The 24,431-nt window shown below is 49.4% G+C and overlaps 1 protein-coding gene across 2 annotated transcripts in view, besides 1 other annotated feature; it reads left to right on the top strand.

Annotated features, from left to right (window-relative positions):
* PKP1 (plakophilin 1) overlaps positions 1-12,006 on the top strand; it is a 49,484-nt gene extending 37,478 nt beyond the window's left edge. For both annotated transcript variants that reach the window (NM_000299.4, NM_001005337.3), the window contains 7 exons: positions 995-1,150; positions 2,030-2,206; positions 3,445-3,598; positions 3,958-4,144; positions 4,771-4,855; positions 7,779-7,885; positions 9,091-12,006. In NM_000299.4, the coding sequence (NP_000290.2) occupies positions 995-1,150; positions 2,030-2,206; positions 3,445-3,598; positions 3,958-4,144; positions 4,771-4,855; positions 7,779-7,853 (834 nt within the window). In that variant the 3' untranslated portion in view covers positions 7,854-7,885; positions 9,091-12,006. The remainder of the gene's footprint in view (positions 1-994; positions 1,151-2,029; positions 2,207-3,444; positions 3,599-3,957; positions 4,145-4,770; positions 4,856-7,778; positions 7,886-9,090) is intronic.
* Positions 602-1,103: an enhancer, noted in NCBI's record as "H3K4me1 hESC enhancer chr1:201290713-201291214 (GRCh37/hg19 assembly coordinates)". NCBI's record gives its function as "activates a minimal SCP1, AML or CMV promoter by ChIP-STARR-seq in primed H9 embryonic stem cells {active_cell/tissue: H9 hESC(primed)}" and the evidence as "EXISTENCE:reporter gene assay evidence [ECO:0000049][PMID:30033119]".

Genomic DNA, 24,431 nt, shown 5'->3' on the forward strand with positions numbered 1-24,431 from the left:
AAAAGTTGTGGAGGGCAGATAAACAGAAGGCTGAGATGTTCCCACCATGGCAGGACAGTGGCTCAGGAGATAGTGAGGCCCAGCAGGCTCCAGATCGCCAGGGAACGGGCTGACATCACAGCACCTGGGTTCTCAGCACAGTTGCCGTAAGGAGGGATTTTATCTCCTGCTCCCTCCACTGGAAGCAACAGCAGGGCCACAGAGGAGAGCCTTGTCACTGGGCTGCTCAGCCTGCTTCCAAAGGGCAAGATGCTTTTCTGCTCTGTGTGCAATATCTCCAACACCTGTGTAACCCCAAGCCCTGGAAGTCAGATTCCCTTAGACCCCAGCAAGGGCCAAACATCATTAGGAGGGTAAATCTGCTGCCCCCAAACCCTAGTCCTTTGGAGGTTTGCCAAAGGAGATTGACAAAGATCTGAGCCCAGCTGCCATGATGAAGCCCTGGGCTCCAGGTGTTGCTGTGTTTTGTGTGGACTTAGCACCGCTGACATTGACAGCTAAGGACTGGCCCCAGGAAGAAAGAATGATGGGGGCACTAGATGGCTTTGGAATCTAGAGGCATGGGGCTTCTTCTGGAGGAGTTTGTTCTGGAAAAAAAAAAAGACACATTCTTCAATATCCCAGTCTGCCCATTGGCATGTTGTCCATAGCAGTCCTACCACACACTAGGCCCTGTGATAAGTGCTTTCTCTGTATCATCTTCCAAATAGCCTAGTGAAATGGACAATTGTAGTCTCATTTTACATTTGAGATAGCTGAGGCCCAGAGAAGTGAGGCCAGTCAAGTTCATGCAGCCAGGAAATGACAGATTCAAACTCAGGTCCCAGAGGTGGCCCTGGAAGACTTCCCAGGCTGATAGTGTGGTGGTGCCTGCGCTCATCTTTCCCGATGCAGCCCAGGTGCCTCTGCTCTCTTATTAGCTAGGGTAGGTGGTAGGCCAGGAGCCTGTCGGGCCGGGCAGAGGCTCAGGCCCATGCCTCTCCTTGGTCCCCAGTCTGTGGAAAACTGCATGTGTGTTCTGCACAACCTCTCCTACCGCCTGGACGCCGAGGTGCCCACCCGCTACCGCCAGCTGGAGTATAACGCCCGCAACGCCTACACCGAGAAGTCCTCCACTGGCTGCTTCAGCAACAAGAGCGACAAGATGATGGTGAGCACAGCATCAGCAGGGCGGGGCCTGCCCCATCAAGCACCCCCCCAGGAGCCACTGCCTCATCTGCCCTTTCCTCTGGGCCCTCCTGGAGCCTGAAGCCAGCCCTAAGGGACAGGCCCATGCTGACACCTTGGCCTGGGGCTCAGGGTGCACTCTGGGAGCTGGGTAGAGGCCATTCATCTTGCACAAGGGGGAATCTGTTCTTGGAACTGTAGGGGCTCAGACCACCTTAGAGGTCAAAAACTCCAGCCTTCTGTTTGCAGGCCTTGGTCTTTCTTCCTGTATAGTGGGTCAAGTCTCCCCCATCTTCTCCCTTGCCCTTGAGGATCTGAGGAAAGCCAGAACTCTCACTCTTTCTGGCCTTGGTTCCCACCATCTCCTGAGCCCTGCCAGGTTTCCCCAGAAGCAGAAGCCTACCAGGGATGGGTTGTCAGGTCTCCTTCACTGGGCCCAGCTGTGGAATCCAGGTCTCAGACCACCCTCTTTGGCCCAGGGTGGGTCAAACCTACTGTCTGAGTCTGGAAGAGGAGGAAGCATCATGATGGGAGAGTCCAAAGCAGCCCCACATATCTGGAAGGTTTGGGCCAAGGCTGCCCTGGAACACAGCTCCCAAGATGCCAGGATGCTCTCTTCTCCCACATCCTGGGACAGTCTGGGGGACCATGGCCCATTCCTGCATCCCATGGAGCTGCTGCAGTGCATAGAGGAAAGGGGTGCAGCGGGGCTGTCCTGGGCCCCCTGCCTCTGCAGGCGCTTCCTCAGCTTGCCCTATCTGGAACCACGACCCTGAGGCTGGGGGGATGGGGACAGAATGCCTGGGTTGTGTCCTCTCACAAGGCTCCCCATTGACCCCCCTGACCGGCTCTTTATCCTCAGAACAACAACTATGACTGCCCCCTGCCTGAGGAAGAGACCAACCCCAAGGGCAGCGGCTGGTTGTACCATTCAGATGCCATCCGCACCTACCTGAACCTCATGGGCAAGAGCAAGAAAGATGCTACCCTGGAGGCCTGTGCTGGTGCCCTGCAGAACCTGACAGCCAGCAAGGGGCTGGTGAGTGGGACTGTACCTTCTCTACTGCAGCAGCCCCATCCTCCAGCCACCGTCCAGCCTCTGCTCCCTCCTTTTCCCCCCAGCCTGTCCCCTGACTTCGGAGCCTCCCATGAGCAGAGTGTGCCTGGCATATGCTGGGCTCTGGGCTGGGCAATGGGGAAACACTCCTGCCCTTTAGGAGCTGCTGGGGGATGCAGAGAGGGTGGGCCCACTGATGCTGGATTCTGTCCATGCACACACAATCCCCTTGGCCACATGGCTCCCGGTCCCCAGCTGGCCTCCTGGGCTCTGCTTGAGGTCGGGGAATGCGGCGGAGAAGGTGTTTGGCAAAAGGAGTTTCCCATTTGTTGAACTGACAAAGGTGGAAAAAGAGGGTTTGGGGTCCAAGCAGGTCCAGAGAAGATGTGACAGAATCCGTGCAGATGTTGAGGCCAAATGTATGTAGCTTGGAGGGCACAGTGGTATGGGGCAGAGCCAGAGGAAACCTGTTGCAATCAAGAAGAGTTGAGATGGGCCAGGCGGCCAACTGTTCTTCAGCTTTACTTAGGAAAAGGGAACCGAGCAGCAGCAGCACTAGAGTAGACCGAGGGCAGAGAACTTCCCTGGCTGTGAGGAGAGAGGCTGGGCAGTTCTGAGAATGCCAAACCCACCTAGACCTGTTACACCCAGGATAGCTATGTTGCTTAGAGGCCTGGGCGAACTGGCCTACCTCTAGGGGACCCCAGTTCTCTCTCCATGTGGGCCCAGACCCTTTCTTAGCCCTCTTTTCTCAGGCAAGCCCTCAACAAATATGTGTTGGATTCTAAAGAGGTAGGAAAGTTGGAAGAAGATGGCCAGATGTTTAATTGACAAATACCCTTGACCATATAGTTTCACATGGGCAGATAGCGTGGGGAGATGTAATGGGGGCAGCGCTGAGACAGTGGGGTGAGAGAGCAGCATTGGACGCTTGGGTTACTCTGGAAGCTAACTCTGGGTCACTATGAGTAGGGGAAATGAGACTTCCCTCTCTCCACCCATCTGGGCTGCAGGCTGATCCAGGAGACAGGATCAGGGCTGGGAAAGGGGAGGTGCATGTTAGCCTAGGTTTCTGTAGTTGCCCACATGTGAGCTAGTGCTTCCAATATGAAAGAGAAAGGGTTCTGGGATGTCTGCCTTTGGGGCTCCTTGCCCCTTTCTGCCTGCCATGGTGCCTGGGAAGCCACAGGCTAGCTCATCATCTACTCCTTCTCTCTTAGATGTCCAGTGGCATGAGCCAGTTGATTGGGCTGAAGGAAAAGGGCCTGCCACAAATTGCCCGCCTCCTGCAATCTGGCAACTCTGATGTGGTGCGGTCCGGAGCCTCCCTCCTGAGCAACATGTCCCGCCACCCTCTGCTGCACAGAGTGATGGGTAAGGTCCCTCTCTCTCCTCCCCCTCTAGCTAAGACATGGCAGGCTCCCTACAATTCAAGCCTGCTTGAAGGTCATCCTTTAAGCCATTCCCTGGGATGAGCATTCCAAGAAAGGAAGCTGGCCAAAGACAGGTATGGAGACAGGAGAAGGGAGCCTGTCACCTGAGGGCTGGGAGCAGATCTGCAAAAGTCCTATCTGGGTCTCTGAGCCCTGAGTTGGAGCTGCCAGGAAGCCCTGAGGGCCACCTGGCTCAGAGCCCGGCAGAAGGCTATCGAAGAGTGTGGCCCCAGAGGGAACCCCTCAGCCCTTCCTTCCCCAGTCATCCTGACCCTGTGCCCCAACTCGTTCCTCTCCCAGGGAACCAGGTGTTCCCGGAGGTGACCAGGCTCCTCACCAGCCACACTGGCAATACCAGCAACTCCGAAGACATCTTGTCCTCGGCCTGCTACACTGTGAGGAACCTGATGGCCTCGCAGCCACAACTGGCCAAGCAGTACTTCTCCAGCAGCATGCTCAACAACATCATCAACCTGTGCCGAAGCAGGTGGGCGGGGGGTTGCTCCCACGGGCTGCACCCCAATCAGAGCCCCTCCTCACCCTGCACAGCAGGAAGCAGTCCCGCAGCTCTCCATGGAGTAGGGGAAGCACCAAGGGCAGGGGGAGCCAGGGACGGGGGAGGCTTGAATGGAGGAGAAGTTCCAGAAGCCGAGAGTGCGTGGAGAGAAGGGTCCAGCATCCAGGCCCCAGGGCTGCATGGAGGGAAGAGGCAACACACTTCCTGGCTGGGGGACTCGGGGGCACAAGGTCCTCAGAGGGCCAGCAGGAGGCATGGGGCAGCAGGTCCAACTGAATAGGGACTTTATCCTGCTCTGTGGGGCTCTCTCTTCCCCGGACAAGGCTGGGGACTGGAGTGGAAGAGCACTGCCACCTCATGGCCCCTGAGGAGAGTCCTGGGGTGCTCTAGGTGGGCAGGGGCATGGGGTTGTGCCCACTGGGTAGGGTGACCAGGCTCACCACACCCCAATGGGGCTCCTCTCTTTTGCACACCTGAGGCCTCCTCTGAGGCCTCCCCTGTGTCCAGGCCCTGGCAGTGGGGGTGGGAGGGAAGAGGGTGCTCCTTCTCACACCTCCTGGAATCTCATCTCACAAATGCACTTCTCACCTGCCCAGTGCCTCACCCAAGGCCGCAGAAGCTGCCCGGCTTCTCCTGTCTGACATGTGGTCCAGCAAGGAACTGCAGGGTGTCCTCAGACAGGTAAGAGCCCAGGACATCATCCTCTTCTGAGGTTCTTCCTGCTCATGAGCAGAGGGCCTGGCATATGCTGGGCTCTGGGCTGGGCACTAGAGAAACGCCCCTGCCCTTCGGGACAGTCTGAGAGACAAAGACAGCGTCTACGTGAAAATGAATGTGATGAACGTTCTGATCAAGTCTCTGGGCTCTGAGATCTGCGAGGGATGCTGAGAACATGGAGGGCAGAGGAAATCAAGGAAATGTGTGAGAGGCCTGGGGTGGGATCCTTTAGGAGCAAACTGAAAAACAGAGTGGACAAAAAGCACACAAGTCTTTTGAGGGCATGGGGTTCACTCCAGCTAGAAAAGTAGGTGTGGGCTAGGTTACAAAACCCTTCTAATGTCAAACTGAAGAGCTTGGACTTGTACCTTTGGCACTGGGGAACCATTCAAAGTTTTGAATAGAGGGTTTCATGATCAAAGCAGCACCAAAGCTCACCCTGTGAGCAAGGCAGAGTGGGCTGAGAAGCCTGGAGGCTGCTGTCCTTGTCCTGTGGTGACCTTGGCCTCCTCTCTGTCCTCCACCCCTCCCCAGCTAGCCAGGTACAGAGTCCTCTAGGGTATAAGGTCTTGTTGTATGACATCTTCACATGGCCTCTTCTTTCCCATTCCTCAGTGATAAGCATGGACATAAAGGACAGGAGGTGGAAGAAATGGAGCAGTGGGGCTGATTAGGCTGGAGCTTTTAGCTTGGAGACTATGGTTATATTCATAAAGACACATCAGATGAGGAGAGCCTGAGAAGGCTTTTAGGTGGGAGTAAGAGGGGTCCCAATTTGGAGAGGTTGAGTTTGGAAGACTTGGATGGGAGTCCAGGCTGGAGGTGGTGTGGGCCCTGGCAGAGGGGCCAGAGCTACCATACAGAGTGGAGCTTTGTTCAGGCAGGCGAAGCCATGAGAACAGGCAAGACCACCATGGGTTGCATGTGTATGGAAAAGTCTTGAAGGACAGGGCAGAAATATGAAGACCATCTGCTGGGGACAAGAAGGAGGAAAGGCCAGGGAAAAGAGGAACTGTGCAGGGTGCCAGAAGGGGCTGAAGACCTGGTAAGAAGAGAAAGCTCTAAGGAAGGCAGGGCAGCAGTTCCCAGGGCTACCTAGAGGACCAGGGGATGGACACTGGAAAAGGCCCTGGATCCGGTGCTTCGGAAGTCTCTGGAGCCGTCCAGGAGCACTGCTGGCCAAGCAAGGGGAGCCCCATGGGGCCTGCTGCAGTGGGCAAGGCAGTGGATGGGGATGGATGGGGAGTTGCTGAGAGGAGATGCTGCTCCCTGCAATTTAGCCTGCAGAAAAAGGAGCAAAACAGTGGGTAAAAAGAGATCTGTTTAAAGACAGAGGAGACTCAAGCATCTCTGTCATGGGAGGAGAGGGAGTAGGCAAAGAAGGGAGAAAGACAGGGATGGAGGACAGGGAAGCCTGGGGATTGGTTGAGCAGCGTGGGGCAGAAGGAAGCCCAGCTCTTCCTCCAGCATGGCAGGGGACAATAGGGAGACTCATGAACGCACGGTGTCCAAAGATGATTGGGGAAATCTGAAGGTCACAGCAAAGGGTGGCCCTTGTTCTCCATGTGACAATCCAGAGCTCCTTTCCAACAGCACTGCATTGAAGATGGGCTTGGCAAATGGCAACTGCCAGATAGACAAAGGGAGACGAGGAGGCAGGTAAGGAGGACTGGTGTGAGCTTCCTCCCGCTGTGTAATGGTGGTCCAAAGCATTCAGCTTACCCCAAAACACAGAGTCCACCCCCGGCCTAAGACACACAGAGAATCCACTGACATCGCTCTCGGTGGGAATTCCCTTCTACACATGCCTTTGGGAACCAGCGTCCCCATTCAGTCTCCACTCCTCCTTCCAGCTATGCTTGACAACCATCCTGGGCATGATCTAGTTGGTGCGTCTGTTCCCAAAGGGCCTTCACATCCATCATGCATTGAGTTGTCACAAGCACAGGTGAGACAGGCCACATGGCTTGTGTCCATTTTGCTGAATAGGGAATCAGGGTCCAAGGAGTTTGTCTTGATTCAGTGAGTCAGGGCATGAGCCATGCTCGACAGGAATGAGCATGCCAATCTGCAGAAGAAAAATGGCATCATGTAATACATGCCCAAAGACAGGAGGGGCAGGGCTTCGAACCGGCTGCTGTTTCGGATCCCCTATGCCATCTCCCCTCCTGTTCCCACAGGTCGGTGATGGCTGGCTTGGCTCTCAGAGCTCAGGGCTGGCAGCAGGACCCTCTTTTCAAGGGCACCTTGGCCTATTGCTGCATTCAAATCATGCTGTCCACATTCACTTGGAAGCATGTATTGGGCACCTGCTGTATGCTGGGAGAAATAACAGGAATAAGACTCACTCTCCATCCAGCAGGCACTCAGGGGCTAGTGGGGCTGGAGGTGAAGAACAGACAAGTAAACAGAACCTTCTAGCACAGCGGCTTCTTACCAGTGCGAGCCCCCTGCTCCTGTGTTTGAGAAACAATGGGCATGTCCTCTCTGCCCAAGAGCTCTTGTCAGAATTGTTTAAAAAAAGAAAAGATAGAGGTGGTCAGAGGGAAGAACAATTGACAGCTTCTCTAATCTGATTTTGATTGTTGCTCTGTTTAAAAAATAATACTAGCCTAAATCCTCACGCCTTGACTCAGGTTTCTGCAAATGCAAGTAGGAAATTCACATGTGTCAGTGGAAGTTCAAACACATTGCACCGACTCATGGAGAGTTATTATGTTTTGTTACACAGTTACTGAGGCCAGTTTTCGCCCTGACACATGTACTTAGTGATAAGAGAGAGGCTGTGTGAGCCGAGGTTGCTCTGGGAGGGCAGTGGACAGTGTCTGACCCCACAGCAAGCCCCACACAGTTTTGTGTCATTTGGTTGCTGTTTCTCCCTTTGCAGCAAGGTTTCGATAGGAACATGCTGGGAACCTTAGCTGGGGCCAACAGCCTCAGGAACTTCACCTCCCGATTCTAAGAAGAGACTGTCCAAGCAAGTTAGGCTTGCAGGTAAGAATCACCCCACCCTCAGGGATGCCTCTGGGACCACTGCAACAGCCTCAGCCAGTCTCAGAGACAAGGGCTAGGCCTGTGCTCCCAGGGACACAGAAGCATCCTTTTGCCTGGCTCTGGACAACACAAGCAGTTGTGTAGACTGCTTGGCTGGGGGCGTAGTTTGTCCCACCCTCAGGACGTTAGGGGTGTATAATGTCCTGGGAGTTTCAGAGGGGTCAGAGGGTCTGGGCAGGACTGCTAGGTACAAATGTGTGGGTTGTACACTGAACAACACAGGTGGTGCCCTTCACATGGACTACAGTGAGTTCTACAATATGGATAACTGGAGTTCTAGAATATGTCATTCTGGGCTTGGCCATACACAGCTCACTTTTTTATCCTTTTATAATTCACTTTCCACTCTCTGCACATGCCCAGTGTGGACAAGTTTATTTCCAGCTGATGATTCTAGGCCCCCAAAACTCAGAACCAATCCTATGATGAAGGCTTGCCAACCTCAGTGTTCATTGGAATTATATGGGTTGCTTGCTAAAATGCACACACTTGGCCCAGCCCCAGCTATTCTGACTCAATAGCCCTGGAGTGGGATCCAGGAAAGTCTATTTTTAAACAAGCGTCTAAAGTGTTTCTGATGCGGGTAAACTGAGAATCACAAATAGAGATACTCCAGCCAGATGTCATCACCCCTAGAGAGGGGCCTCAGGGGCAGCCCAGCATGGAGCCATCTGCAAATAGCCTGGGATCAAGACAGGGTCTCCTGAGCTAAGGGGGACCTCTTAACCAGGCTGTCTGCCAGCACCCCCCACCCCAATCCCTGGTGGGGAGAGAGGACTGTAACTTTGGTCTGGATGAAGGTTAAATAAGACTTCAGATATCCTCTCCTAGTAAACAAGCTGCAACAACTTGAAGGCAGAAAAGGGGAAAGAGATTCGGTTTGGCAAATCCTTAATGAACACCACCTTCTTTCTTAGTGAGGAAGACGGTGGGCAGGGGACACTGTGGCAGGGTGGCAGACAAAGCTGACAAGCTTCTGAATCCACAGGGCAATCTATAAATGTGTCTAGGGCAGCCTTGAATCCAGTCTCAGGCCAGGGCACACTTGAGGGCCGATGTGAGAAGAGGGTGGCAGTACAGGCTGGGCTTGTGGTGTGGAAACATCTCACTGTAAACACTAACTGGAGGACTTTCTCCTTTTCCAGGAAGATATGACCCAGCTGAGAAGCCCTCAGGCCTCGCTGGATGGGGTTTTCTGTCCATCCTATGCAGTATTTGGGAAAGTTCACAAGAAACTGAGAAGAAACCTAAAAACTGTGGATAGTGGAAAGATTTTTAGATTTTTTTTTTCCTTGGGGAAACTGGCAGGCAATGGGGGTTAGGGAGGTTGGGGCGGTGGGGGCTTTCTTGAGTTAAAGGGGCTTATATGTGATGTCAATATTTCTTCCTCTGAGAAATGGTATATATATGTGTATAATGTAAGTGTGTGCATGCATGTGCGCGTGCATGTGTGTGTGTGTGAGTGTCTTAAAGCATAACCACAAACTGCAAAAAGCTAGGTAAGCTATTTTGTTGCAGCTCATAAGGTGGTGAAAAGGACTCTCCTGTGTTTCTTACTCATAGGCAAGGACAACATGTGCTTTTTGGTGAGCTGCTCATAATTCCTGAAATGTGTGGTGCCAGGGCAAGGGGGCCATCACTGCAGTCAGGCCCTCAGAGGAGTCCTGCAGGCTTCCTACCAGTGGTCTCCAGGGGTGCAGGAGTAACTGGGGCTGGGCCAGCCTCCCCACTTACAAGGCTGCTTTCCAGGAAGGGAGGTCTGGTGTATCTCATGGGAGAATCTGGGGTGTCTGTAATGTCACCCCTCCAGCAGCGCCACAAGGACTGAGGTTGGGTAGGTGTGGGGTTCCAGAGGACAGCAGGACACTCTCGCATACTTTGCCAAATGAGGCCTGCTCAGAGGAGTAGGAGCTGAAAGATGGTGCCTTCCACCCTCTTGGGCTGTGTGCCCATCAGAGCAGGCTCAGCCTGCAAAGGCCCTGCATTCAGAGGTCTTGTAATCTACTTGTTGCAGGAGAAAGAAGGTAAAAAATGATTTTTTTAAGAAAAGCTATTTTATTGCAGCTCTTTCCCAAGAGCTGTTCTGGGAATGGCTGGTCTTCATATTCCCAGTGGAGAGGGGAACAAGTGGGGCTGGGCATATACCTATTCCGGCTTCTAGTGGGATGGAGTTGGGGTATAGAAATTAACCAGGAAGATGTTTCCACCAAGCCTGCTGTGAGTCAATTGAGGGAGTGTTTGGGGTCCCAGGAGACTTGGACGGGGGGAGTTTGGGTAGACTAGGAAAGGAAAGTGCCATATCAGGGTACCGGTACCGGCAAGCTCACATCTCAGCCAGGGGCCATGCCCCACTTCCCCTGACCCCAGCTGTCTTGTCTCCACTCTGTGAAACCCACAGGGGATGTGATAAACAGGGCTATTAGGGGTATCAGCCACGTCGAGCCCCCAGACTCTGTGCACTTCAGACCAGCAGCAGCAGGAGGGCTCCCGAGGGCCTTATGAGAAAACCTGTGTGGACATCCCTTGGTGTACACTAAGACAGAGCAGAGCCCAGCGCTCCCAAGCCTTCCTCCTTCCAGCTTCTACCTCCATGCTAGCATTGCTGGTGTTAGAGAGGAATTAACTTCCTGGTCTGTGCCCTTCTCTAGAAGAATATAAGATGCTCCTCCTCCTCACCCCTTCTCAGCCTCCTCCCAAGTCTTCCTCTTCTGCACCACCCCCGAGTCCAAACCCACCTCTTGCCCCAGCATTCAGGCTGGAAAACACTGATGTGGACTCAGTATGATAACTGAGATGGGGGACGCCAGACATGTGAGGACGCTGTCCTCCGAGAGGTGTCCCCGGCTGTTAGCCAGCTGTGCTGTGGTGCTGTGGGTCTGTCATACCCTCCCTTGCTTCTGTTCACACTGGGAGGCCCACTCCTGGCTCACCTCTCCCTCTCAGGGACCCACGTGGGAGCCTGGATCCCTGGACTGTCCTGGGCATAGGTTTCAGGGGCCTCCTTTGTTGTCATCAGAACCCAGAGGAATTCTTCTCCTAAAAAATACGTATGGCATACCAATCTGTGCGGGGCAGTGTCCTAAGCACTTAGACTACATCAGGGAAGAACACAGACCACATCCCTGTCCTCATGCGGCTTATGTTTTCTGGAGGAAAGTGGAGACACAAGTCCTTGGCTTTAGGGCTCCCCCGGCTGGGGGCTGTGCAGTCCGGTCAGGGCGGGAGGGGAAATGCACCGCTGCATGTGAACCTTACCAGCCCAGGCGGATGCCCCTTCCCCTTAGCACTACCCTGGCCTCCTGCATCCCCTCGCCTCATGTTCCTCCCACCTTCAAAGAATGAAGAGCCCCATGGGCCCAGCCCCTGCCCTGGGAACCAGGCAGCCTTCCAGACCTCAGGGGCTGAGGCAGACTATTAGGGCAGGGCTGACTTTGGTGACACTGCCCATTCCCTCTCAGGCCAGCTCAGGTCACCCGGGCCTCTGACCCAGGCCTGTCACTTTGAGAGGGGCAAAACTGAGAGGGGCTTTTCCTAGAGAAAGAGAACAAGGAGCTTGCCAGGCTTCATGTAGCCGACACACGTCTCAGGATTTTAAGTCCACATTGGCCTCACACTACCAGGGCCAATGCCCAAAATAAGGAGTTCCAATTTGGGGCCAAATGAGGAAGGACACAGACTCTGCCCTGGGATCTCCTGTGCTAGCGGCCAATGACAAATCCAGTCATTGGCCACCAGCCACCTCTGCAGTGGGGACCACACTAGCAGCCCTGACTCCACACTCCTCCTGGGGACCCAAGAGGCAGTGTTGCTGTCTGCATGTCCACCTTGGAATCTGGCTGAACTGGCTGGCAGGACCAAGACTGCGGCTGGGGTGGGCAGGGAAGGGAAGCCGGGGGCTGCTGTGAGGGATCTTGGAGCTTCCCTGTAGCCCACCTTCCCCTTGCTTCATGTTTGTAGAGGAACCTTGTGCCGGCCAGGCCCAGTTTCCTTGTGTGATACACTAATGTATTTGCTTTTTTTGGAAATAGAGAAAATCAATAAATTGCTAGTGTTTCTTTGAACTTTTTCGAGGAGTGGATTCTTTGGGGTGCTGTTGAGGGATGAAGGGGCTACTCATTTCCTTCCATGATCTCCTCTTACCCTGTACCAGGCAAGGACTGAGAATGCCACCCGGGGGCACAGGGACAGCGCTATCCATGGACACCTGCTCTACAGCAGCACATCGAGCCTCACCGCAGCTCCATGACACTAGGATTGCTGTCCTGATTTTTAAAATAAGTAAAGCGAGACTTAGGGAAGGAACAAATACCCCCAGGGTCACACAGCTTGTAAATGTCCCCAAGCCTGAACCCATCCAGGTGGGGCATCTGTAGGAAAGAGAAATTCAAAGATGAAGGTCAAGGAGTTGGTGTTTATTTAGTTTTATTTATTTACTTTTTGAGACAGGGGTTTTGCTCTGTTGCCCAGGCTGGAGTACAGGGATGAGATCATGGCTCAAAGAGGGCTCAACCTCCCAGGCTCAAGCAATCCTCCCAGCTAAGGCTCCCAACTATGGGTCTCACTATGTTGCCCAGGCTGGTCTCGAACTCCTGGATTCAAGTGATCCTTCTGCCTTCGCCTCTCAAAGCACTGGGATTACAGGCATAAGCCACTGTGCCCAGCTGGAGCTGATGTTTATTGAATGCCTATTCTACCTGGGTTCTGTATTGGTGCTGGAGGGTCACAAAAACAAAGGATGTGATGGGCCCCAGCCTCAGAAGTCTCATAAGGGACAAGACAAACATAAGCAAACGAGGCATGTGTAGTAAATTCCAAGTAGTGCTGTGAACATAACCACCGTGGGCCATCAGTGCCAGTCAGGGCCACCTGGATGGGGAAGGTCAGGATGCTTGGGGAAGGGCTGAATGTGAGCTTTTCCCAATTTGAAAGAGTGGTGACTGGCAAGTCCTCTCTACTACAGCCCACGGCCCTGACCTCCTGGACCATCCCACAGTTTAGTAATGTCCAGAGAGGTCAGAGAGAAGGAGCTGTACCACAGACAAGAAGAAGATGGCCTATCTGTGGCCTGGACTGTTAAATACACGAGGCCTCGGACATCCAAAAAATGTTTTGAGACCTGAAAAATATGTATTGACTCCAAAATGTGAGATCAAGTTACAAATTTACAATCAACAGATGTTTAGATTGCTAAGCTTTCATTGGAATATAGCATGCATGCAGAAACATGTACAACTGAAAATGCATGCAGCCCAATGAAGCTTCACAAATGAATAGCACCCAGACCGAGAAACAGAACATTACCAGCACCCAAAACCCTGCTCAGACCCCTTCAGGTCACCATCCTCCTCCCCAGGGGTAACCACTGTCCTGACTTCTAACACCGTAGATTAATATTGCCTATTTTTGAACTTTATATAAAGGAAGTCAACAGTAAGTCCATTTTTATGTTTGGTTATTTTATCTCAACAATATGTTTGCAAGATTCATTCATTCCTATTCATGTTCCTACCACTGCCATATAATAATCTATGTGTAATTACGTTACAATGCAAAATGCAATATTACATCATCGCCATTGTTACATCTATTATTTATAAACAACTGGAAACAATTTGCGGATTAGTTGTCTCACTTCCTAAAAATTCCCACATGTGATATAATTACTGGGAAATTACAACTAACAGTAAAGAAGTTCGATTTTACGTGGGACGTGGGTGCACTTAATGTGTAGGAGTGCCAAAAAGCTACAGAAGTACTAATTCAACTGTCCCTGGCCAAGTGGGTGGCAGGCCCTCTGGCCCCTTCAGAGGACTGTCCAGTGAGAGCAAAAGGGTCCAGGAACAGATGGGCAAGACCAAACTGGGAGGCACCAGGAGCAGCTGGCAGCCTAAGCTGTGGAAAGGAGAAGGTCTCATGGTGCTGGAGGCTGAGTCTCCCAGACTCCATGTCAGGCTGCCTCCAGGTCTCTCTACCCTGAGCCCTGAAGCCATTTCCTCCTGTTGCCTTTGGAAGTATTCTGGCCTGGAACCCGATTCTCTCCACGAGAGATAAAGCATTCATTGTGCATCATTTTTGGAATGCAGTGCGTTCCGTTGTCCAACACAGTTGGAGAAAAGAGTGAACAGAAGTCGTTAATAATAACAATAGTCTTTTTTACTTGAGGGGGCCACACATTAACTCCTTTTGCTTTCAAAGCCTTAGGGTGTTGGTTTGCTGTTTTGATCTTTACTTCATTCTAGTGAGACAGGCAGAGCCCAGAGTATTACATTTCAATTTATAGATGAGGAAACAGACCCAAAGAGAGAAAGTGACTTGCGCAGAGTCACGTGGCAAGTTTGTGGCGGAACCAAGCCTGAGACTCAAGCCTCCTGTGTCCCAGCCCAAGTCTGCTCTGGTCAACTCGCATGAGGCTGCCCAGCTGTCAAAGTGTTAAAACTGTTCAGAGAGGCCTGACACAAAGGCGATACTGTGCATAACCAAATCTTTAATGAATCAGAAGCTCACAGCACCTCGAGGCATCATAAGATTACACATCTTATGAGCTGTGGTTGCTGTGCAGACATGCCAATAAACGAAGAGTTCTGATAGACGGAATATCAGATGCCAGAAACTACAGTGTGGATCATCTAGTCTGGGGCTGGTGGTTTGGTTGATTAGAATATGGAGGTAATGAGGCCAGGGCCACAGAGTGAAAAATACCTTAAGGACTCCTGCTGGTATCCTCCACCCTAACCCGTCATCCTGCACACCTCAGCAGGGTGTGAATGTCACCAAGTGACATGCCAGCCTCTCTGGGAAGCGTGTCAAAGCTGACAAGCCCCACTGATGGTGGATCAGCAGAGATATCCCATATACAGAAAGGATTTCAGGCTTCTGGCATTCCTAAGCCCTCTAGTTGGCCCATTAAGAAGTTTTATGGCTGCTGAATTAATTTTTAAAATTTCTAAAAAGCATTTCAGCATTTACCAAGCGGTTCTAAATCTCTGGGGTATAAATGTCACCCTCTGCACACAAGACCATTAAAATCCTGCTTTCTACACCTCTCTCTGAAAGGAAATGTCAACCAGGTCTCCAGGGCCAGTGGGGCCCATGCTGCACCCATGCGTGTTGTTCTGGATCCCTTTAGGCTCACCTGGCTGCATTCTGGGGCCCAGAGTTTTCCTGGAGGATAGCAGGGCTGTGGGGGACAACAGACAAGAACGACCACCTATTCTGTGACCCCCGTGGGGGTGGGCACTGACATGCATGAATGACCTTCTATCTCTATCCAGATGCTGCAAAGTAGGTGGGATCATTCCCATTTCACAGATAGGGAAACTATGGTTCAGAGGTGGAGCAACTTTTTCAAGGTCATACAGATAGTAGGTGATGGATTCGGATTTTGAAACAGGTCTGAGGCCAAGGTTGGTGCTCCTCTCCCTTCTCTATAGCTGCCATCTAGACAGCAGTTGCCAACAATTAGGTTGGCTCCAAAACTGCCCTCTAATGACTCCAACCTGTGACCATGGTGCCCCTCTGAGCCTTCTGTAACCAGTGTTCGAAAACAGAATAAGCACCTGTACCCCAGACATATACTCCTCATCTTTTCTTTTTAATTCAAGAAACGTCTGGGAAAAAAATTCTTGTCCTCTTCCAAAAGTTGAGAGGTCAAGGCAAAAATACCCTACACTCACCTCCTCCTCTGAATTGAGAAAGCCCTTTTCCAGACAGCCCATCTACCGTCCACTCTTGAATCTGAAAGGAGTCACTTCTTGCCCAATCTCTCTACTTCTTTTTCTTTTGCCAGCTCAGAGCTGGTCCTGCCTGGTCCCCTTGTCTGTCTGGTTTTGAGTACTCCTGGGGGCAGAGCCTTTATTCTTGGCCCCAACCAACCAGATCTCCTTGATGGCTGGACCACTGGCGGACTGCAGAGTGTGGGGCTGTAGCCACAGGTGCTGGGGGCTGGGAGACAGGCTGGCAGGGAACAGGCTGGCTTGGTGGCATGCTGGACCCACCATCCAGCATCTGGGATCTGCTGTCTGGAGCTGGCCTGCATCAGGGTCACAGACTGTCGGAGTGGAATGGCCAGGGAACACCCCTCAGCAGACGATATCCACCTATTTTCCAACCACAGAATCCTTCGGGTAAGCTACACTGGCATGGGGAGACAGAGGCAGCCCGGGTGGAAGAGACTTGGGGCAAGAGCTCCACCTGCCCACTCCCTTTCTGCCCAGGAGTGGGATCCTCAGAACCCCAGGCTCCGAGGAGCTGTGGAGAAATCGCTGGTCTAGCCCGACTCCCTCACTTTGCAGGTGAGAAACTGAGGCCTGGAGAAGGAAAGTAACTTGCAGGGGTCACAAAGCAGCACTAGGAGCAAGGCCAGGCCCCTTCTCCAACACCACCCTCTGCTCTTTCTTGCAAGTCCCCTTCCTCACTGGACTAACTGCACCTTTGGATGCTCCATAGGCCCTGCCAGAGCCCTGATGTAACACCCGGCACCTGGGTGGTTGGTACAGCCACTTTCTGCACTGGACTGTGAACTCCCTGAGGGCAGGGACCCAAGCAGTCTCTGGCACAGGGAAGGAACTGGATATTTATTCTTTTAGGTGAACAAGGAAGGAAGGGAGGGAAAGGGGAACTGGCAAATAAAAGAAGAAAAACATTTTCTTGTCTGGTATACAACCAACCAAAGAGAATGAGTAGGAACAGCCAGTGACGTGAAAGGCCAATCAGGAGAGTGTGGCATCTGGAAGACAAGGGAAGAAAGTGTGCCTAGATGGAGGGAGGGCCCAGCTGTGTGGGATGGTGCTGATGAGCACACAGGATGAAGAAACATGGGACTCTCTAAACACAGGGGGAGTTCACACACACACACACACACACACACACACACACACACACACACTGATAGAGCCCTACACACACACACAACCACAAGGCTGCTGGAGGGATCTGACAGCACCTGGCACTGTGGGCACAGAGCAGAGGCTTGGTAAGGACCAGCATCCCTATATGATGAGTAGGGCTCTTCTTGAAGCCTTAGCTTTGGTGACCAGGACTCCGCAGGGGAGAGATTGAGGCCAAGTATTCCCACCTCCTAAAAAGAGTCTAGATTAATTGGGGCCACATATCTTTGATTAAAGATCCAAGGGCTTTTGAACGATGAGACTAGGCCAGGCATAGTGGTTTATGTCTAATCCCAGCACTTTGAGAGGCTGAGGTGGGTGGATCACCTGAGGTAGGAAGTTCGAGACCAGCCTGACCAACATGGAGAAACCTCGTCTCTACTAAAAATACAAAATTAGCCGGGCGTGGAGGGGCATGCCTGTAATCCCAGCTACTCGAGAGGCTGAGGCAAGATAATCGCTTGAACCCGGAAGGCGGAGATTGCAGTGAGCCGAGATTGCACCCTTGCACTCCAGCCTGGGCAACAAGAGCGAAACTCTTGTCTCAAAAAGAAAAAAAAAGACCCAAGGGCTTTTGAATGATGAGACTAGGCCAGGCATGGTGGTTCACATCTGATCCTAGCATTTTGGGAGGCCAAGGCGGGAAGTTGCTTGAGCCCAGGAGTTCAAGACCAGCCTGGGCAACATAATGAGATCCCATCTCCAAATAAAAAAAACAAAACAAAACAAAACACCATGAGACTGGATGAGATGACCAACGTCATGGGGATAGATAGAATAGAGAAGAGCTTCAAAGGCGGTGGACAACCAACCAAAGAGAATGAGGAGGAACAGCCAGTGACGTGAAAGGCCAATCAGGAGAGTGTGGCATCTGGAAGCCAAGGGAAGAAAGTGTGCCTAGATGGAGGGAGGGCCCGGCTGTGTGGGATAGTGCTGATGAGCACACAGGATGAAGGCAGAGCTGACAACTGGATTCACGATTCTTTTATTTCCTCCTCTTTCCTTTCTGCTCCTTTAGGTAAAATTTAGATACAGTGAAATGCACAAATCTTAAGTGTACCATTCAATAGATTTTGACAAATGCAGACGTCTGTGCAACCCAAAGTTCTATCAAAATATAGAACATGTCATCACCTCAGAAAGTCCCCTCATGCATTTTCCCAGTCAACAATCCCCCTTCCCACTAAGAGGCCACCACTGTTCTGCTTTTTTCATGACAGATTAATTTTGCCAGATTTTAAAAAAATGTAATATTTGGGAGACCGAGGCGGGTGGATCACGAGGTCAGGAGATTGAGACCACCCTGGCCAACACGGCGAAACCCCATCTCTACTTAAATACAAAAAATTAGCCGGGCATGGTGGTGTGTGCCTGTAGTCCCAGCTACTCGGGAGGGTGAGGCAGGGGAATCGCTTGAACCCAGGAGGTGGAGGTTGCAGTGAGCCAAGATCGCACCACTGCACTCCAGCCTGACAACAGAATGAGACTCCGTCTCAAAACAACAACAACAAAAAGTAATGTCTGGGTTGGACACAGTGGCTCACACCTGTAATCCCAGCACTTTGGGAGGCCAAGGCAGGTGGATCACCTGAGGTCAGGAGTTCGAGAACAGCCTGGCCAACATGGTGAAACCCTGTCTCTACCAAAAAAAAAAAAAATTAGCCAGGCGTGGTGGTACACACCTGTAGTCCCAACTGCTGAGGAGGCTGAGGCAGGAGAATCGCTTGAACCTGGGAGGCGGAGGTTGCAGCGAGCCGAGATTGCCCCACTGCACTCCACTGCCCCAGCCGGGGCAACAAGAGCAAAACTCCGTCTCAAAAAAAAAAAAAAAAAAAAAAAAAAAGTAACGTCTGCAGGATCTATAGTGTATGCCCTGTTTTATTTCCAATGTTGGTAATTTGTGTTCTCTCTCTCTCTCCTTCTCTCTCTCTCACACACACACAAACACTTTTTCTTGAATAGCATAGCTAGGAGTTTATTTTTTCAGAAAACCAACTTTTGGCTTTGTTAATTTTCTCTATTTTTTTTTTCGTTTCATCAGTTTCTGCTCTTTATGATTTTCTTTCTTCTACTTACTTTGGGCTTATTTCGCTTTTATTTTTCTAGATTCTTAAAGTAGAAACTTAGGTCATCGATTTTAACCTTTCAGGTATTTAAAGTTCCCTCTCAACACTGCTTCAGCAGCATCTCATACATTTTGACATGTACTTTCATTATCATTTCAGGAAGAATATTTTCCAAATTCTCTTGTGATTTTTTTGACTCATGAATTATTTAGAAGAGTGTTATTTAATTTCAAATATTTGGGAGTTTCTAGACACTTTTTATTTATCTCTAATTTAATTCCATTATACTCAAAGAACATTTTCTGTATAATTTCAGTCCTTTTAAACTTATTGAAACTTGTTTCAGAGCCAAACATATTTTCTTAGTGAATGAACCATATGCACTCAAAAATCATGTGTATTCTACAGTTGTTAAGTATGCACATATATTTGTTTGCTTTGTCTTCCCAGTGAATGTCCTCATAAAATGTCACTCTGTTTCTGTTGATACTCTTTGTTTTGAAATCTGTTGTATCTGGTATTAATCTGTTCTCCAGTCTTCTGGTTACTGTTTGTGTCCTATATCTTTTGCCTTTTTTTTTTACTTTCAATGTATCTGTGTCTTTATATTAAGCATGCATCTCTTTTAGATAGCAAATAGTTGAGACTTAGTCTTATTTTTCCCCATTCTGATGACCAATGCATTTTAAACAGTGTTTAATCAATTTAGAGTTGGAATAATTATTGGTACGGTTAAATTTGTCTACCATTTTACTATTTGTTATCTGATTAGTCAACTCTCTTTTTGGTCCTCTGTTTTTTGGGGGTTTTTTTTCTTCTTTCTTCGGGGTTATTTTTAGAATTTCATTTGAATTCATCGATAGGCTTTTTGCATCTTTATATTTTTGGGTTTTTTTGTGATTGATCTAGAGATTATAATATATATCTTTACATTTTTAATCTGCTTACAACTGATATTGTGCGACTTTAAATAAAATGTAAGAATTTGGAGCCACATACATCTACTTACCAGCCCTCTTCCTTTATGTTGGAGCTGTTATTTGTGTTATATTTACATATATTGTAAATGCCACAATAAAATGTTATCATTTTTGCCTTAAAATGTCATATCCATTTGAAAGAAATTAACAGAAAAGTAGCCTTTAGTACTTACCATTTGCAGTGCTTCTCATTTCTTCCTAAAGATTCAAATTTCCATTTGGCATTATTTCCTTTCAGTCTGAAACACTTCCTTCATCATTTCTTGTTGTGCAGGTCTAATGGTGATGAATTCTCTCAGTTTACATTTATCTTTAAAAAACTTCATATTTCAAGGCCAGTTTCTCCAGACACAGAATTCTGATTGATGGTGTCTTTTTTTCTGTCATTACTTTAAAGATGCTCTTCCACTGCCTTCTGGTCTCCACTATTCCTGATAAGAATTTAGTAGTCATTTGTATTGTTGGTTCCCTGTCTGTGTGGTATCATTTTTTTTTCTGCCTGCTTTCAAGAGGTTCTTTACATCTTTGATTTATAACAGTATGACTATAATGTGCCCAGGTGTGGTTTTCTTTAGACACAGCTTGCTTAGGGTTTGCTGAGCTTTTTAGGTTTATACATTATGTCTTTTATCATGTTGGGGAAATTTGGGCCACTGTGTCTTCAATTATTTTTATGTCTCATTTTTTTTTCTTCTCTCATTCTGAGACGCCAATTACATGTATGTTAGACCTTTTGATATTGTCCTGCTGATCACTGAGTGCCTGTTTATTTTTGTTCTCTGTTCTTCAGATTAGTACATGTCTACTGATCTGTGTTCAGGTTCCCTGACTCTTTCTCCTGTCATTGTAAATGTGCTGTTGAGCCTATCCAGTGAATTTTTTTTATTTTACTTATCATATTTTTCAGTTTTATAATTTCTATTAGGTTTTATTTAGTATCTCAATTTCTTTGATAACAGTTCTTATTTATTTATTACAAGCATATTTTTCTTTATATCTTTGAGCAAAAGTATAATTTCTGCTTTAAAATACTTGTCAGTTAATTCCAGTATCAAAACCATTTTATGATCAGTCCTCAGGTATTGTCTTTTCTCTCAATTATGAGTCAGGTTTTCTTGTTTCTTACTATGTTAGTAATTTTGGATTGCATCCTGGACTTCATGAATGATACATTGTATTACTTCTGGATTCTGTTCTTCACCCCTCTGAAAAGTGTTGATGTTTTGTTTTAGGAGGCAATTAACTGGCTGAACTCAAACTTCAAACCCCGTTTCCTTTAGGGTGAGCGTCAGCTGAAATCGCTGTTCAGTTCTGTTGGTTCAGTTGGGCTTCTTGGATTCTCCCCTATGTTTGCATAGTTAAAGAGTCAGTCAGAGATTTAGGCTAAGTTTATATTCAGAATTTGGGGCACTCTCTCTGTGACTCTCTCCTTTCCAATATGTCCCTCCTCCATTTTCCAGCTGCCCTAAACTCTCTCCTCTGGTTATCTAAGCCAATAAGACTATAAGCTTCTACTTGGGCTTTAAGACAGTCTGCATGAAGCTAATTGCAGTCTGCCCTTTGATGAAAAGCTATAAAATGGAAAACTTACACAATGAAATTTTACTTATCTGAGTGCCAGCTTCCCTTAGTTTCTTCTTGCTTTTGGTGACTGTCCAGTATTTGCAGGTAGTTGCTACTTTTTGTATTTCACCCAGAGTTTATAGCTGTTGTCTTTAGGAAAGATGACTATGATTTGCTAGAACCTTCTGATCATCAAATTTAGTGACATGGAAGTCATTGGTGCCTTGACCAGAGCAATTTTGTTTGAGTGGTAGGGGCAGAAACTTGACTGGAGTGGGTTCAAGAGAAAGAGGAAGAAAAGGAATTTTAGAGAGTGAGGACGGACAGCTTTCTGAAAAGGTATTTGTAAAGTAGAAGAGATAAATGAGGTGCTTTTAGAGAGTGAATGTGGCATAAACATAGATTTTTTTGTAAAATAAAATCATGTTTTATATACTGATGGGAATAATATGGCAGGGAAGGAGAAATCGATGACCCGAGAGAGAGGAAAAAATTGCTGGTGTGATGTAGGTGAACAGGCATAGGACCTGATCCATAAGTGGAAGGGTTGGCCCTGGCTGGGCTGTGGACAGCTCAACTATGGTTCCCGAGGCAGGTGGGGATAGATGTGGTGGTGGGAGATTATTGGAGTTCTCTTTGTGATATGTCCATGTTCTCAGTGAGATCTGAGAGTGAGGATAGAGGAGGACATGTTAGACGGTGGAAGAGGGTAGAAGGCATGAAATAGTTGAGAAGTGTAGGAAAACTAAAGAACTAGTGAAATATAGTAGGAATGCTGGGCAGCACTGAGAACCCGCTTAAGGTTGGTGGTAATGAATTTAAAGGAAGACTGGTCAGCACAGTCATGTGCTTACTCTACCCACATGTTGCTACCACACAGTGAAGAGGACTTAACCAGGGGGTTTTGCAGGCAGGTCAGTGAGGCAAGAGAGGAGGAAGGGAGTTAAGGATGTGGGCAAGGGAATGGCTATAGACGAGCCATAAACTTTAACCTGGGTAAGGAAGGAGAAAACACGAGGGGGTTGGTTGAGAGATCATGAAAATTAACATGATAGTATCAACGGATTGCAGGGTCCAAAGAGTGATTAGGGCCTGAGTACTTGAGGCAGTGAGGTGTCATTTGGAAAGTAGTGGTCAAAGAGTGTGTTGCTTGGAATTGAGAATATGAAGGAATTGTCATTATTGGTCACAACAAGGTTGACCAACCATGAAAGTAAATGGCTAAAGTGGGATAGAGGACAAAAATCTCTGGAGAAGAGATCAAGAAACCAAGAGGCCAGGATATCGGAAGGATTGTACTCAAAGTTTTTGAAATCATCAAGAATTATAATAGAACTAACATTGAGAAAGTGATGGTAGATTGGAGCGAAAATCTTCAGGGAAGTGACAGGAGTGCCCCAGGGGTCTATCAGTGACTGCAACAGAAGGGACAGCGGTGGGATAGTGTGATGACATGAGACACTTGTTTAACTAAACTGAAGTACGGCTCCACAGCAGCTCCAGACATTCCTCTATCCCACACTCCACCTATGATAGTTGCCAGTCAATACACAAACCATTTGGGGATGAAGAAGAGCTCTTCTCCACATACTCAGAGATAACTCGGAACAAACCCTTGTTTGAGATTAGATAGAGAAGGGCTCCATACTTCATATCTGGTGGTCTGGTAGGTCTGAGCCCTGTGGATCAAAGATCCTGGCTGGTGGTTACCCAAACTCCTAGCAATGCTGGCTAGGGGGATGGGTGAGGCTTGTGCAGGGGGTACTGACAACTTGTCATATCATCAACCTACCAGCTTATCTTGAGAGGAGAGTTGCAGAGGTTGGTAGAGAGGTTGAGATGGAGTGAGAGACTCAGGTGTGAAAGAGGGAGGCAGAGGAGAGGGTCTGGCTCTTCACTAGAGAGCCAGGACACTGTGTGTGCCCCTGCTGCTCATTCAGGGGAAGCTGAGTCTCCAAGAGGGGAGCACTCACACAGCAACCCTCCGGCCCCTCATGGCTGCCCCTCAGAGCTTCTACCCAGCTTCCCCACACCTCCCTGGGCCTTCCCTTCTCCGCTCAGGGCTCCACAAAGTTCTGAACCAGCCTGAGCCACATGTGTTTTGGTTCATTTGTTTTTGAAAAACAAAAGACAACGGTTAATTAAATCACCACCCACCCAGTCACCTCATCAAGTAACTCTGGCCTCATCTTTCATTCTTCCTTTCCCATTGAGGCACCAAGTCCTGACAACTCTAAACTATTACCTCATCTCCACACCCACTACCGCTGTCTACCCTGGGCCTCCTTGAGGCCTGGCCCCTTCCACGGCAATAGGCTGGGCCTCCTGGCTGGGCCCTCTGCCTCTTGTTTCCCGCCCCTTTGCCCCCAGAGTGCCTCCACTAGAGTCATCTTTCTAAATAATGCTGACTGTATCCTTCCCCTGCTTAAATGCATCACCAGCTCCCACTTTTCTGTAGCCAGAATTCTTAGACTATCACCCAAGGCTCTCCCAGGCCAGCCCCAGCCCACCCCTCCTGCCTCCTGCTGCTTCCCATTCACTCCCTCTACTCCACCCATGACTGGCATCTCCCCAAACACGATGTGCCAGGTTAATCCCACTGTCTTTGTGTTGCTTCTTCTGCCTGGTGTGCCTTTCCCCTGCCTCTGCCTGTCAAAATTCTATTCATCCTTTGAGGCCCAACTGGCATGTCATCCCCTCTGTGAGGCCTGCGTGCACCTGTGTGGAGGCACGAGTCGTGCCCTGGCTTGTGCGTGTGTCTATTTTCCCCTCTGTGATAGTGACTTGCTCCATTTTTTGCCCTTTCGTCATACCTGGTACAGTGTCCAGCACAGAGCACAAACCCAACATGAGCTGAATAGAACAGGAGTCTGGATATAGATGCATAGAATTGCATGTTGAAATGACCTTAAAAGTCTCCCAGGCCTCCCTCCTGCAGCTGACTCTTGAAGACCCATAAACCTTCTTCCACATTGGCCAATCAGCACCCTCC

This window comes from Homo sapiens, chromosome 1 (assembly GCF_000001405.40).
Source record: "Homo sapiens chromosome 1, GRCh38.p14 Primary Assembly".
Classification (NCBI taxonomy): domain Eukaryota; kingdom Metazoa; phylum Chordata; class Mammalia; order Primates; family Hominidae; genus Homo; species Homo sapiens.